The following is a 13,872-nucleotide window of genomic DNA, read 5'->3' on the forward strand; positions in this document are numbered from 1 at the left end:
AGACATTTTCACAGGGTGTGTTTTCATTTGCCTTTGGCACTAATGGGTCTCTGGAACGTTCCATCCTGGCCGGGGAGGTCAGGGCCTGGGCGGCCAGGGCCCATTTCGAGAAAGCAGGTTTTCCTTTGTGGCATGCTTATTTCAAGCACCATTTTCCCTCCTGGTTATACTTGAAATGGGGCTCGGTGTTGGGAGGTTTCAAATGTGGACATTCCGGGCAAGGGGCCTCATGAACTCTGTGGACATTCTGGGCAAGGGGCCTCATGAACTCTGAAGGTTGAGCTTGGAAGGACGGACACAGGTCTTGGCAGCCTGAGTGGGTACAAACGCTGATTTTTCTGGAGTCAGTCCTCTCCTGCTGATGGGCTGAGAGAGCCCCCCAGGCCCTGTGTCCCTTCTCAGAGGACCTCAGCCCCCCAGTGCCTGGGCCACGGATGGGCTGGGGGCTGGGGCCCAGGGCCTCGCATCCTACAAGGGCCCAAGGGCTGAAATGGGGCTGGGGTCCCTGGATCTAGGGGATGAGGGCCCAGAACGAGGCTGGGGTCTGGGGTTCAGTGGAGCAATGACCAGGAATCAGGCTGCGATCTGTAGTCCAGGTGTCTGGCGTCAGACAGCACCCTCCTGTACACGGCACAGCTGTACTGCAGGGTTAGGGACAGGATTTACTGCCACCAACGGAAGCGTTGATTCCAAGTCTCAGACACCGCCCCCAGGCTGGGCCTCCCTCGACGGAAGGTGACGCTCTCTGGGAGGTCCTTGGTGCTCACCTCCCTGGCTGCTTGGGGCCCCAGGGCTCCTGCCTAGGGATGTTTTGGGGCTGCAGAAGGACCCTCTGCCCATTATCAGACGAGAAGTGCAGAGAGCAAATGCGTGCTGTTGGCGCCCCCCACCCCCACACTGAGAGTGGAGACGGATAGGCCCAGCCAGAAGCTTGGGGACCCGCTCCCAGCCTGGAGTGACGGACGCTGAGCAGCAGGAGCACAGCTGTTCCCGACACATCCGTGATCTGGGCGTGCACCTGTCACTGGGGAGAGAGCAGTGCTGGTCTCCACGCTTTGGGCATCGCCTGCTCCCTGAATCCTTTCCACATGCGAACAGCCTGGGCAGGGGTCCCCAGCGGTCAGTAGCTACTCCCGCCAGCGCGGGTTCACGGATCAGGAGGCTCCCAGTGTGTCAGGGGAGTGCGAGGTGAAGATGGGGAGGGCTGGGCTGGAAATGCTCGTCCTCCGTGGAGGTCGGGGGCATCAGGAGGACCAGGAGGACGTCTGGGCTGCAGGCAGACGTAAGCTGCAGCAGGGCCAGCTCTGGCTACAGAGGCCCAGAAAGCACTGCTCCTGCAAGGTGCCAAGAAAGACTCACTGAGTGGTTTTCCACTGCCCTGTGAGCGCCAGGAAGCTTAAGGCACAGACAAGGCCAGTTCTCAGGCAGACGCCACCCCAGCCAACAGGCCAGCCTTGACCCAAACCGGAACTCGTGCCCCAGCTGGCACTGCCAGCACCCGAGACAGTGAAGTACAGGGAGCTGCAACCCAGCCCAGAGCTCCAAGTGTGCGTGGCCAAGAAGCTGACTCCCGAAGGGGGTCTTGAGAGGGGTCCTGCGAACCCCTCCTCTCCCCTGGAGACCCGTCCGGGGGCGGGGCCTTTCCCAGCCTCTGCTCACAGCCTGCGCCGGCCCAGCCTGTAGTCACTCTGTCTCTGCCAGACCAGCCGTCATTAAAAGCACCAATTAATCTCCCAGGCCGTGCCAGGACGCTGCCAACTGCCCCACGGGTGCTCGGGATGCAGGGGCTGGGAGGCCCGGGCCAAGGCTGTGCACACACCGGCTGCCAGCGGGTTCACGCCCGCCGGGCCCTCCCTGTGCTTCTCAGAGGCCGCACAAAAGATGGGCTGCCTGCCGCAGGAGGAGGGCCGGGTTGGGGGTGGATGGAGGGGGACGGGGAGGACGGGCAGGGAGGGACGGAGGGGCACAGGGAAGGACGGAGAGGGAGGGACAGGGGCCTCTCCAGGGTGGCATTTCCCTGGGCAGCCCTGCTTCCTCCTCGTGCCCTGGGCCCAACACACACCACACACACACACACACCATACACATGCACACCACACATCACAAACACACCCACACCCTGCACACATACACCACACACTAAACACACACACCACACACATACCACACACATACATCATACACACGCACACACACCACACACCATACACACACCCCACCACACACATACACGCACACACACACACCACACACACACATCATACACACGCACACCACACATCACACACACACAAACACACCCACACCCTGCACACATACACCACACCAAACACACACGGACACACACACACCACACACCATACACACACCACACCACACACATACATCATACACACACACACACACCACACACCATACACGCACCCCACACACATACATCACACACATCATACACATACACACCACACACCATACACACCATACGCACTATACACGCACCATACACACTATACACGCACCACACACACCATAAACACACCCCATACATACATCCCATACACATATCACACATTACATACCATACAAACACACACCACACACACACATGAACACACGCGCCTCCGGGGTCGCCATCCCTAGGAGCCACGGGTAGGGTGGGGTGGTCTCTCATCTGGAAGCATCCCCCAGGCCATCCCTGCACCATCTCATGGGCAGCAGAGCCTGTCCACCCACATTCTTCTCTGCGGCTGTCCTTGGCGCCCAGGCCAGGGCATGTGGAGCTACAAATGTCATCTACACCAGCTCTCCACGCCCGGCACTCACGGCCCAGGGGACAGCCCTGGTCCAGATTCCCCCATCAGGGTATACTTGAAACGTACACTCCCCCTGAAACTGCAAGGCCCACTAGCAGGTGGTGAGGTCAGGGTGGGTGGGGCCATGCAGACACGGCGGAGCAGGCCCCAGCTGAAGGGGTGGGGCAGGGATGGGAGACAGGGGAGGAGGGTGTGTGTGCAGCTCCCCCCTGGATGAAGACATGGGCCCATCAGGTGGACTCAGAGGTGGCTCTGATGGCTGCCCCTCCACTCTCCACCCCCGGGTCCATCTCTTGTCATCAGACACTCTGCTCTAGCTTCCCCAGGGAACACGCTGGCCTCTCCCTGCAGGAGATCAGAAGCTTCAGGGCTCAGCTTAAATGACACCAAAGATGCTTTCCCAGACCATCCTTCCTGAAGTCCCCGCCTCTGAGAGGTGCTTTTGGAGTTACCTGCTGCCTGCCTCCCTCCACAAGGCCAGCGTCTGCAGGGCAGGAGCTGTGAGGGTGGCCCGGCTCCATCCTGTGTGGGAAAGTGCCTGGCACACAGCAAGTGCTTAATTAATACCTGGTGACCCTCAAGCCATCCCGACACCTCCCTCTCTGAAAGCTCCGTCCCGGCGTCCTCTCAGGCCTAGTGGCTCACACCCGCGGAGGACGAGGTCATTTTCCTGGGGACTTCAAGGTGGACCAGAGATGACTCTGGAAGGGGGGTTTGTGGGCACCACTCTGCATGGGGATCCTCACCCACATACCGCCCTCCCGGGAGTGCACCAACACGTCCTCAGCTGACTGGCCTAGGCCCCCACCACCCCGCCACAGAGACTCCCCACCTCCCCACCCCTCCTGTGGCAGCCTGCACGCCCAGCACCTCCCCTGGTGATCACTGCAACCTGGGGAAAGGAGCAGGCGCTGTTGGAGCCTGAGGCAGGGTCTCAGTTGCACAGACCACCGTGCCCCAGAGTCAGGGCCTGGATGCCACTCCCCAACCTCAGTCTCCCTTCCTCCAGGGGTGCTGGAGTTCCCCACCTGTGTCCCAGGGACTTGAAGCTTCCTTGGTGGATGGGGAGCCAGGAAGAGGCCACCCTGCCTGCTCGCAGACCTAATGCAACTGCTTTTCTTTGGCAAAGAGAGCTCTCCACGGAGGTCCTCACCCGGATGGCACTGTGAGCCCGAGTGGGCGATGTCTGCTCTCCCAGGGGCAGGGGGTGGAAGGTGGCACAGTTTGGACCGGACCCCCACCCTCACTGCTTCCACTTAAACCCCCACTTCTGCCTGCCTGCATCCCAGGCCTAACAGATGAGTTCCGCGGGCGCCCCAGGCGATGCTCTGAGGGCCACGGAAGGATGCGGGGACCCCGAGCGGAGGGCAGGGCCTCCAGGGGGAAGAGGCACTGCAGACGGAGGTGTGGGTCTTCCCAGGCAGGTGCCGGAGCCAAGCGAGATGGTGGGACGGGGAAGAGAGGGCAGGCCAGGCTGGCAGCCAGCTCTCCACCTACGATGCGTGGAGCCTCCCAACTCGCGCACTCCGTCTCCCCACCGCTGCTTCCTCTGACCTGGCTGCAGAGATGAGACCGCCCTCCGGGCAGGTGACACGGCCCTTGCTCTTCAGCCTGGAGGCCAATGCTTCCTCCAAAGGCCCTGGCCCCCTCAGCTCCGGGCCTGGCTCCGGTTGTTCCCAATGCAAAGCAGCAAGGGCCCCGGGGTCTGCGGACGGGGGCGGGCGGCCGCTGGGGGCACCAGCTCTCGGCCGGGCCAGAACAGGGGGTAGGAGGCGCGTCCTGTGCGGTCGGTGGCGGCCCCAGGTGGGTGCGGTGCGCTGGCAGGAAGCGGCAGCACGACCCCCGACTTTGCATCTGGACTTTTCTAGTAACGGACCAGCTCCTTCTGCCGACCGGGCCGGGGAGACCGCGTGGCTCAGTGGCTGCAGCGGCCACCGGCCCGGGCGTGGGGGCTTTGAGGGCACCGGCGCGGTAGGTCACCCGGGTTTCGCGGGCCGCAAGCTCGGAGACGCGCGTGTCCCGCGTTGGCTGCCTGACCCGGAATGGCGCAGCCCCTTCGCCTCCAGCGCGCTGGTTGAAAGGATCCGAGCCACCCTCGGGGACGGCCGGGCCGAGGCCACCTCGCGGGGCGGCCTTGGGCGGGGACCCGGACCCGCGGTTGGACGTTCGCCTCGGGGGGGGCAATGTCCCCTCTCCGACCCCGCGGTCCCCACCAGGGCGGCACACCCCGCCCTCTCCCCGCCTCCGCAGGCGCCCAGGGCTCACAGGCTCGGAGCGGCCTCCGCCTCTGCCGGACCACCCAGGGCCGCCCCGCCGGAGGGGCCTCCCCGCCCCCGAGCCCTAGGTCACGCCCGGAAGGCCCGGGGCCCCCGCGTCCGGCCACGCCATCCGCCCGGCGGCCCCAGGGACTCAGCGCCGGGGTCAGCGCAGGCCCCGCCCAGCGCTCCCGCCCCCTCCAGCTGGCCGGCCCCCGGGACCGCGCCCCCGCCCGCGCTCTCCACGCTCGCACTCGTATGGGCAGGGCGGCCCGGGGTCCCCCAGCTCCGAGCCGCGGCCCCTTGAAGCGCGTTACCTGGACGTGCGCTGTCCGCAGACTCTGGACGAGCTGGGCCTGGGCGCTGCGCGGCGGAACCGACCCTGTCCTGGACCGCAGGCAGCAGCTGACCCCGCGCCACCGGCCTGCGGGCGAGACCTCAGGCGCGAGACGGGCTGTGTGTGTGTGTGTGTGTGTGAGAGAGAGAGAGAGAGAGAGAGAGAGAGAGAGAGAGAGAGAGAGTGTGTGTGTGTGTGTGTGTGTGTGTGTGTGTGTGTGTGTGTGTCGGGGGAGGGGCCCGAGGACCCGCTTCCTAGCTGAGCGTCAGGACGGGGGGCGGACTCTCAGGAGCCGCGCGGCGCCCGCAGAGGAGAGGAAGCGCCGGAGACCCCCCTGCTCCCACCCGGCCTCCCTGCCCCGCTTCCTTTCCCGGGGCTCCAGAGAGGGGAGCTCCAGGCGTGGGGCGCCTGGCCCACGTGGTGCGGCGCCGGGCGGGGCAGGCGGGGGCGCGGCGAGAGCCGCGGAGCTTTCTTTATGGGTGGGGGGGCGGGGGCGGCCGGGCTCCGCCTCCGGGGGATCGGGGCGCGCTCCGCCAATGGGTAGCCGGGCGCGGGGCGGGGCCGCGGGGCCGCCGCTTAAAGAAACTTGTTGCGGGTCCCGCAGCGGGACCCGAGCCTCGGCGGCGGCGGCGGCGGCGGCAGGGGCGAGGGTCGGGGCCACCGCGCGGCGACCTCGGGTCCCGGAGCGACCGCAGGGCAGCCCCGGGCGCCGGCCCCGGTGCGCGTCTCCTGTGCGCGCCCCTCCGCGCGCGGCCCCGATGCTGGACATGAGCGAGGCCCGCTCCCAGCCGCCCTGCAGCCCGTCCGGCACCGCCAGCTCCATGTCGCACGTGGAGGACTCGGACTCGGACGCGCCGCCGTCTCCCGCCGGCTCCGAGGGCCTGGGCCGCGCGGGGGTCGCGGTGGGGGGCGCCCGGGGCGACCCGGCGGAGGCGGCGGACGAGCGCTTCCCGGCCTGCATCCGCGACGCCGTGTCGCAGGTGCTCAAGGGCTACGACTGGAGTCTGGTGCCCATGCCGGTGCGCGGCGGCGGCGGCGGCGCGCTCAAAGCCAAGCCGCATGTGAAGCGGCCCATGAACGCATTCATGGTGTGGGCGCAGGCGGCGCGCCGCAAGCTGGCCGACCAGTACCCGCACCTGCACAACGCCGAGCTCAGCAAGACGCTGGGCAAGCTGTGGCGGTGAGTGCCGGCGCCCCGGGGGCGGGGTTCGGGACCTTGGCCGCCCCTGGTCTCGGACTGCGAGCGGGGGCCTGGAGGGCGCAGAGCTCGCGGAGGTGGTGGCCACACGCAGGCTCCGGGCTCTGCACCCCGGGCGGGTGTCAGGGCGGGTCCCAGTGGAAAAACATCCTCTGGCCAGCCGGGGTCCGGCGCCAGCTATGGGAGTCGGGATCCGCGGAGGGCAGCGCCTGGGGTGTGCACCCTCGTGGCGGGTGCGCTCTGGAGCCAGTTCTCCTGGCGGGGAACACCCTGCGGAGGGCCATGGCTGGCACCCCGACGTGCCCTCCAGCCGTTGCGAGTGGCCCCAGCCCCGGGAGGCACGCCCGGCACGACAGCAAGTTGCATGCGGCTCTCTGGAGGTGCTCCCTCCTTAGAAAGGGCTCAGCTCCTCTAGCTCCTGGACCACCCATGGGGAGGGAGTGCGGCAGGCGGATGGGTGGGCAGCAGGTTTGCCTGCGAGTACCCTCCCCGCAGTTTCTCCCTCTCCTGGACACCCTCGGTCCGAAGCAGGGAGGGCAGGAGTGGAGATGACGGGGTGCGCCGTGTGCACGCCTTGGCGTGGTGGGGCCGGTCAGTTTTCCAGAAATTAGGACTGCAGAGTGAAGAACTTGTTGCTCAGGACAGGCCGCCCCCACCGAGTGTCCTCTGGTTGGGTTTCAAATGGTTCTCTTGGTTTGGGGCTCTGGTTCCCGTATCCTGCTCCTCACCTGGAAGAAGGGAGCTTGGAGCTTGCGTATTTGCACCTCCTGCCTTCTGTCTGGATCTAGGGCGCAGCCACGGGGCGCTGTGGACGGCAGGCCCCTGCTCCCCCAAGTCCTGCCGCACAGGCGGTTGGAGGTGAGCCTCGGGAAGAGTCCCAAGGAGTGTGTCCTGTGGCTCAGTGAGGACGGGCGCCTGGGCCCTGCCAGGGCTTCTGGGTGTCTGGGAATGGAGGGACAGCAGCCCAGCTGCCCGCCGAAGGCCGGCACCGTTCCCGGGAAGCCTCGCTTTTGTCCACCGCCGGCTGGGTCCTGCCCGCCTCCCCCGCCTCCCTTAGAAAGCCCCAGAGGGAGGGAACAGCAGGCCCGGAATAGGGGGAAATAGAAGGAGGAAGATGGGAGGCGTGGGGCTTGTTCTTCTTTGGCTGTCGTAAGCATACCAACCTTCCCAAACAGGCGCCGGCCGGTTCTCCCAGAGGAGTGTACTGCCTGGTGCCACGGGAGGCTCCGGAGCGCACGGCAGGCGGGTTTCCCTGGTCAGAGCCTCCTGGCCCCGGCCTCTGCTGCCGGTTCCCCCTGTGGTGTGTGCCTGCGCCGAGGGCACAGTGGGCGCCCTGGCCATCCCTGCCTCTGCCCTGTGCTGCAGCTTGCTGAGCGAGAGCGAGAAGCGGCCCTTCGTGGAGGAGGCAGAGCGCCTTCGCGTGCAGCACAAGAAGGACCACCCCGACTACAAGTACCAGCCACGGCGCAGGAAGAGCGCCAAAGCCGGCCACAGCGACTCCGACTCGGGCGCGGAGCTGGGACCCCACCCTGGCGGCGGTGCCGTGTACAAGGCTGAAGCAGGGCTTGGAGATGGGCACCACCATGGCGACCACACAGGTGGGCTCCAGGCCCCCCGCATATCTGAGGGTCCCTGTATGGGAGGCAGCTGTGGGGTTTCTGGCTGAGAAGGGTGCATGATGGTGGAGGGGGGCAGGCGCCCTCGAGAGAACCGGGCCTTCCCCGGGTTCCCTGAAAAAGCTCCCAAGGCCCCGGCCGCCCCTGTTTTTGGTGCACGAGGGACCTGCTTAGCCACCTTGAGTGCTGAGGGGCTGACAGCTTTGCTTGGCAGGGACCCCGAGAGGTGGTGTTTTCAGCAAGACTCAGTCCAATGCGGGCTCCTCTTCCCACACCGAGCTGCTGCCCACACGGCACTCAGCAGCCCCAGCTTCAGGGCCAGACTGACAGGGTGGAGTCCTGCCGGGGCCTCGGTCAGGCTGGCTGACGCCCGCCAGCCTCAGAGTGCTTGGCTGGCCCGGGGAGGAACAGGGTCTGTGTGGTCCCCCAGCGCCCTGTAAACCCCAGCTCTGGCCAGGCTGGGCCTGTCGGCTTCTTCCCCCCACCTTGGTCTCTGGGAGGGGCCTCGGGTCTTCTCATAGCACAGCGCTTCATGGAATTTTCTCGGCCGAGGAGTGAGGTCTAGGTCTGACTTTGCTGGAATTTCTGGGAAATGTAAAGAAACAAAAAGCCGTTGATCCCCCTGGCAGTTAGCGCGGGCGTCCCTCCCCTTCCAGCCTGGCCGGCCCCACCCGCCCCACAGAAGGGGCATTCATCCCTGAAGCCTGCTCTCCTGTCCCCAGGGCAGACCCACGGGCCGCCCACCCCGCCCACCACCCCCAAGACGGAGCTGCAGCAGGCGGGCGCCAAGCCGGAGCTGAAGCTGGAGGGACGCCGGCCGGTGGACAGCGGGCGCCAGAACATCGACTTCAGCAACGTGGACATCTCGGAGCTCAGCAGCGAGGTCATGGGCACCATGGACGCCTTCGACGTCCACGAGTTCGACCAGTACCTGCCCCTGGGCGGCCCCGCCCCACCCGAGCCGGGCCAGGCCTATGGGGGCGCCTACTTCCACGCCGGGGCGTCCCCCGTGTGGGCCCACAAGAGTGCCCCGTCGGCCTCCGCGTCGCCCACCGAGACGGGTCCCCCACGGCCGCACATCAAGACGGAGCAGCCGAGCCCCGGCCACTACGGCGACCAGCCCCGAGGCTCGCCCGACTACGGTTCCTGCAGCGGCCAGTCCAGCGCCACCCCGGCCGCCCCCGCCGGCCCCTTCGCCGGCTCACAGGGCGACTATGGCGACCTGCAGGCCTCCAGCTACTATGGTGCCTACCCTGGCTACGCACCCGGCCTCTACCAGTACCCCTGCTTCCACTCGCCGCGCCGGCCCTACGCCTCACCCCTGCTCAACGGCCTGGCCCTGCCGCCCGCCCACAGCCCCACCAGTCACTGGGACCAGCCGGTGTACACCACCCTGACCAGGCCCTGAGGGCCCAGCCGCGGGGAGGGACTCGCAGGCGTCAGGGGGCAGCCTTGTCCCGGCCCAGTGTGTGTGACCAGGGCGGGAGGGGCCCCAGTGGCTGAGCTCCAAGTGCCTGCTGAAGTCTGCAGGGAAACACGCTTGCTGCCCGTGGCCCTCGGCCTCCAGATGGCCACACCTCTGCCGACGACGGACCAGCTCCCTCTCCCTTCTATCTTTCTTTTTGAGGTGGTGGGATTATTCCACAAAGAAGGGCTGCCGTTTGGTCCCTCTTCCGTGAGGACTGGCGGCACCAGCACCTTCGCTTTGCATCTCGGTAGAGGAGAAACGGCAGCACAGCCCAAGGACCAAAGGAGGGGGTGGCAGGGGCCTTGCAGGGCGCTGTGAGGTCCAGGCCGGTCTTGGCGCCGAGAGCCCCTGCACTCAAGGCCACATTCCCTCGACAACGGCTGCACGGGCTGTCCGGGATCCGGGGTGTCTGTCCGCAGACTGGGATGAGTCTACTCGAGCATCTCCGGGACCTGCCTGTCAGATCTGAGGTGTCTCCTTGCTGGCAGAGTGCGCTCACGCGAGGGCTGGCTGTGATGAACACATCTCTCTTTTATTTTTATGTTTTTGATAATTTTTATTTTTGAAGCTTAAATGTGTTTCTTCTGAAAGCTGTTAAAGATGTATTTATGTTCTGTGTTATTTTATCTTTAATTAATGAGGTAATTCGGGCAAAGAGTAGAATTTAAGACAAAACGGAAGCTGGGAAGCTTCCCTTGAGGGCAGGCAGGAGGTGGAGTTGCAGCTGTTGGCCGGCATCACGTTGCTCGTTGCTCGGCTTATGGGAGGCCGCCCTGGAGGGCCCGGAGGTCCCAAGGTCCCTGGGAGGACTGGGCCCCTCATGCCTCGAGCTTGGCAACCGAAAACCCGAGGGAGGAGAAGGGACCTGCCTTGTGACATCTCTGATCAGGTTGGGGTGCCCCAGCACCCAGTACCAGTTTGGGGTTTGGGAAGCAGGACTCCGTCCCTGTCCCCGACTGTGCCACGTGGTAGGACACATAGGACACAGGAATTCCTGGGTCCTTGCCCATGACTGTGCCATGTGGTAGGACACAGGACACAGGAATTCCTGGAAAGTGGTGGCTTCAGAAGTGATCTTGGCTCGCAGGCACCAGTGCCACCTACCAAGCTGTGAAACTAAACCTTCTCCACTAAACGTCGTTAGGGCCTCAGTTCTAGACGAGTCATACCTGATTCACCTGCACTGCTTCCCCTGTGTGCTGAGCATAGAGCATACAATAGCGCCTACTTCACGGAAACTTGTGCCTTTAAACTTTGTAAACTTAAACACAGCCGAGAAGTTGCTTCTTTGTACTTTTTCTACTTTTCCTACTTTTTTGTAGAAAAAAAAGATAATGCCTCTGCTTCTATTTCTCTGGGGGTGGGGGTGGGGGCCGGGAGCCGTCGCAGACCCGTTTCATGCAGCGTCTCCCTTGGCACCGCGTTCGGAGGACGCACCCTCACTCCCCTGCTGCCTTCACTCCTTTCTGACCAAGCAACGCTAACTTTTGTACAGATCGATTTGATAAAATTAAACAAAGTGCTTTTTATGGACGTGGGCTGCATTTTGTGTGTTGCTTTGTGTGAGCCTGGGGCTCCCGGGGTAAAGATGTCCGGCAAAGGCAGGATCAGGCCGTGCCACGCGGCCGCCGGCCTCACCCCAGTGCCCTCCACGCTGGGCGGCAAGGAGGGCGGCCGCGAGCCCACCCGGACCCCCGAGCGGCAGGGGCAGCCCGTCGTGCCACCAGGCGTCAGCAGGCTTCAGTCAGAATGGAAACAGCCATGCCCTTCGCGAATCCCGTCGCGGCCTCTGGGAACCGAGCTCCTCGTCTTCCTTCCTGGAGGGCCTCCTTGGTAGGCAAAATGGGTCTGGACGGGCCCGATTCGGGGCTGTGTTTTTCCTCCCAGGCGAATCCCAGAGCTGGTTTCTGGGTGGCTGTGCAATGCCAGGAAGCCGACGGCATCTTTCGGGCCTTGGCATGGAGCCAGGCTGGGAGCGGATGAAAGCGCCCCGCAGGAGCCGGCAGAGCTGTCTGGTTGGAGGAAAGTTTCTAGGGAGAAAATGGCTGTGGGAGTGACAGCCAGTGAGGGGCAGCCGGTCCCTTTGCCAGGTCTCCCGGGCACCTGAGGCTGGTGCGGGGGCGTCTCGGGGCTGGGGGCCACCCCTGGGGTGCAGACACCCGGCTTCTCAAGGCATCTTGGTCGGGGGTGGCAGAGGATGCACTGCTCACAGGAACCCAAATTCGAAAGACAGCCGCATCTACAATTTTAACACGGTGGCCTGGGTAGGGGGCCACCCACCCCGTCTCCTTGCCCGCCTGGCCGCCCTGCCCCTCACCCCACAGTGGGGATCCCGTTCCAGGGCCTACCAAGAACAGCAGGGGGAGGGGCTGTGCGGATTTATGACGGTTCCTTGGGGGTGGGGTGTGCCAAGCCCCACGGGCGAGGAGGAGGCTGGGAGGGGGCTGCCGAAAGCCAGGTTCACAGACATCCGTCGCCTCTGTGGAACAGGCCCATCCCGTCCTGCGTCCAGCCAAGGGCTGTCCAGGCCCACACGTCCCTCAAAGCTCACACATTGACACCCCAGCTGGGGAGAACCCAGCGTCCGGCTAGCCGGCAAAGCCAGCTCTGCCCCTGGGCTGCCCCGGGACACGCTTTGGGGCTTGCCAGGTTCCCAGGGACTGGGAGGCCCTGCCAGTTTTGTGTGGACTTGGCAGGGCTGCTGTGAGTTAACTCCTGGGGTCCCGGGCCCTGCGTCTCACTGGTGTGTGCCCTAGAGGAGGAAAACCTCATGTCCCCGTCCCGGGTGTGCCTGGGTCCCGGGTGCGTTCCTGTGGGTTTTCCAGTATCTGAGTTTCGTGAAGGTCAGGGAGTGCCACACCGTCCTGGCGCGTCCACACCCTGCCAGGGTGAGGGGTGCATGGACAGCTCCTCCCCCTGCACAGCCCCGCTCTTTGTCCCTCCCTGCCCCTCCCATCCCTCCTCTCTGGGGGTCCCCCTCTGGCAGGGCTTGTGGCTTCCCCCTTCGGCACTGGATGCTGGCCCTGGGAGTCTCCAGGTGCCAGTCCCCCTCCCCAGGTGCTGCACGGAGGAGGGGGCCAGAGTCGGTGCCTTGGGGGTCAGGCCGCTTTGCCCCTGTTTCCGGCTGGTGGGGGTTTTGCTGGAGACAAGTCCTCCAAGAACACCAGGCTGATGACGTTGTTTCCAAGCTGGCCTCGCCCCAAGCCCAAGCTTCCCTGCGCCCGGTCCTCCTGAAAGCGTCGTGTCCCAGGCCAGGCCGGCCGGGAGAGTTCCTCATTTTCCACGTCCTCATCCTCCACAGAGAGCATTGCCTCTGATCTCAGCCGAACAGAATGCCCTGTTCAGCCCCAAAAGGGGAAATGGCATTGGTGATCCACCCTGGATTCTGATAGGCTGGAAAAGCCCCTCTGGTCTTCCTGGGACAGAAGCGGCCTTAGGAGCAGGTTATCGGTGTGGGCGTGAGTTCACAGCTGCGAGGCTGTTCCTTCCCAAGAGGGCCTGTGTCCTCCCAGCAGCTGCCTGGGAGGGGCCTGAGGTCCCATTTGCCCGCCTCTCCTGGGCAGTGAGATTCGGGGACCCGCTGGTCTGCTGTGGCGTTGGGCCACAGTCAGAGGACCATCAAGTCCGGGGTGTCATGGACCCGGGGTCCTGGCCTGCTGTCTGGACCCCAGTCTTGCCTCCCCAACCCAGGACGGAGGACCTTTCTTGACACCATCTCTAGCTACTCCACACCTGCTGGGGCTGCGGCTGGAGGCTTGGGGGTCGTGCTTCCGGGCAGTGACACCATAACCACCAGACTCCAGACAAGCCCTGGACACCTGTGTGGACGGCCGCAGGGGCACATTCCAGCGGGTTCACAGCAGACCGGCGCCAGTCAGGACCCAGTCTCGGGCAGCGAAGCCAGCACTTGGTTTGAATCCCTCCGGGGCAATGTAGACCCCAGATGAAGGAGATGGGTGGCCCCCCAGCAACTCAGGCAAAGAAGCACCCCTGAGGAAAGGAGATGCAGCCCAGCGCTGCCCCCAAGCTTCAGTCGGGCCCTTCCGGCAGGACCCAGCGCTGCACTCAAGCCTCAGCCAGGCCCTTCCTGCAGGACCCAGCGCTGCACTCAAGCCTCAGCCGGGCCCTTCCTGCAGAACTGCAGGGGCATCAGGCAGGTGATGGAAGCCAGAGGCTCAGATCGCC

The 13,872-nt window shown here is 64.9% G+C and overlaps 2 protein-coding genes and 1 long non-coding RNA gene across 12 annotated transcripts in view, besides 1 other annotated feature; 1 reads left to right on the forward strand and 2 right to left on the reverse strand.

Annotated features, from left to right (window-relative positions):
* The window catches only part of LMF1 (lipase maturation factor 1), a 127,980-nt gene extending 122,126 nt beyond the window's left edge, over positions 1-5,854 (reverse strand). For all 3 annotated transcript variants that reach the window (NM_001352019.2, NM_001352017.2, NM_001352018.2), the window contains exon 1: positions 5,386-5,854. The gene's annotated coding sequence lies outside the window, so the exon portion shown is untranslated. The remainder of the gene's footprint in view (positions 1-5,385) is intronic.
* Positions 2-5,854, reverse strand: CEROX1 (cytoplasmic endogenous regulator of oxidative phosphorylation 1). Of its 8 annotated transcripts, NR_164341.1 has the most exons (5): positions 5,386-5,854; positions 3,842-3,999; positions 3,266-3,351; positions 1,019-1,334; positions 2-641 (listed from the first exon to the last, which is right to left on the reverse strand). It is a non-coding gene; the product is annotated as a cytoplasmic endogenous regulator of oxidative phosphorylation 1 (long non-coding RNA). The 8 variants fall into 8 exon arrangements; NR_036442.3 differs by having other exon boundaries at positions 2-1,334; NR_164342.1 differs by having other exon boundaries at positions 3,842-5,854.
* Positions 6,011-11,220, forward strand: SOX8 (SRY-box transcription factor 8). The gene is made up of 3 exons (NM_014587.5): positions 6,011-6,585; positions 7,969-8,201; positions 8,942-11,220. The coding sequence occupies exons 1-3, from the start codon at positions 6,164-6,166 to the stop codon at positions 9,625-9,627; spliced, it is 1,341 nt and encodes a 446-aa protein (NP_055402.2). The 5' UTR covers positions 6,011-6,163; the 3' UTR covers positions 9,628-11,220.
* Positions 13,097-13,597: an enhancer, noted in NCBI's record as "H3K4me1 hESC enhancer chr16:1038856-1039356 (GRCh37/hg19 assembly coordinates)". NCBI's record gives its function as "activates a minimal SCP1, AML or CMV promoter by ChIP-STARR-seq in naive H9 embryonic stem cells {active_cell/tissue: H9 hESC(naive)}" and the evidence as "EXISTENCE:reporter gene assay evidence [ECO:0000049][PMID:30033119]".

The sequence above is a fragment of the Homo sapiens genome, chromosome 16 (assembly GCF_000001405.40).
Source record: "Homo sapiens chromosome 16, GRCh38.p14 Primary Assembly".
NCBI lineage: Eukaryota > Metazoa > Chordata > Mammalia > Primates > Hominidae > Homo > Homo sapiens.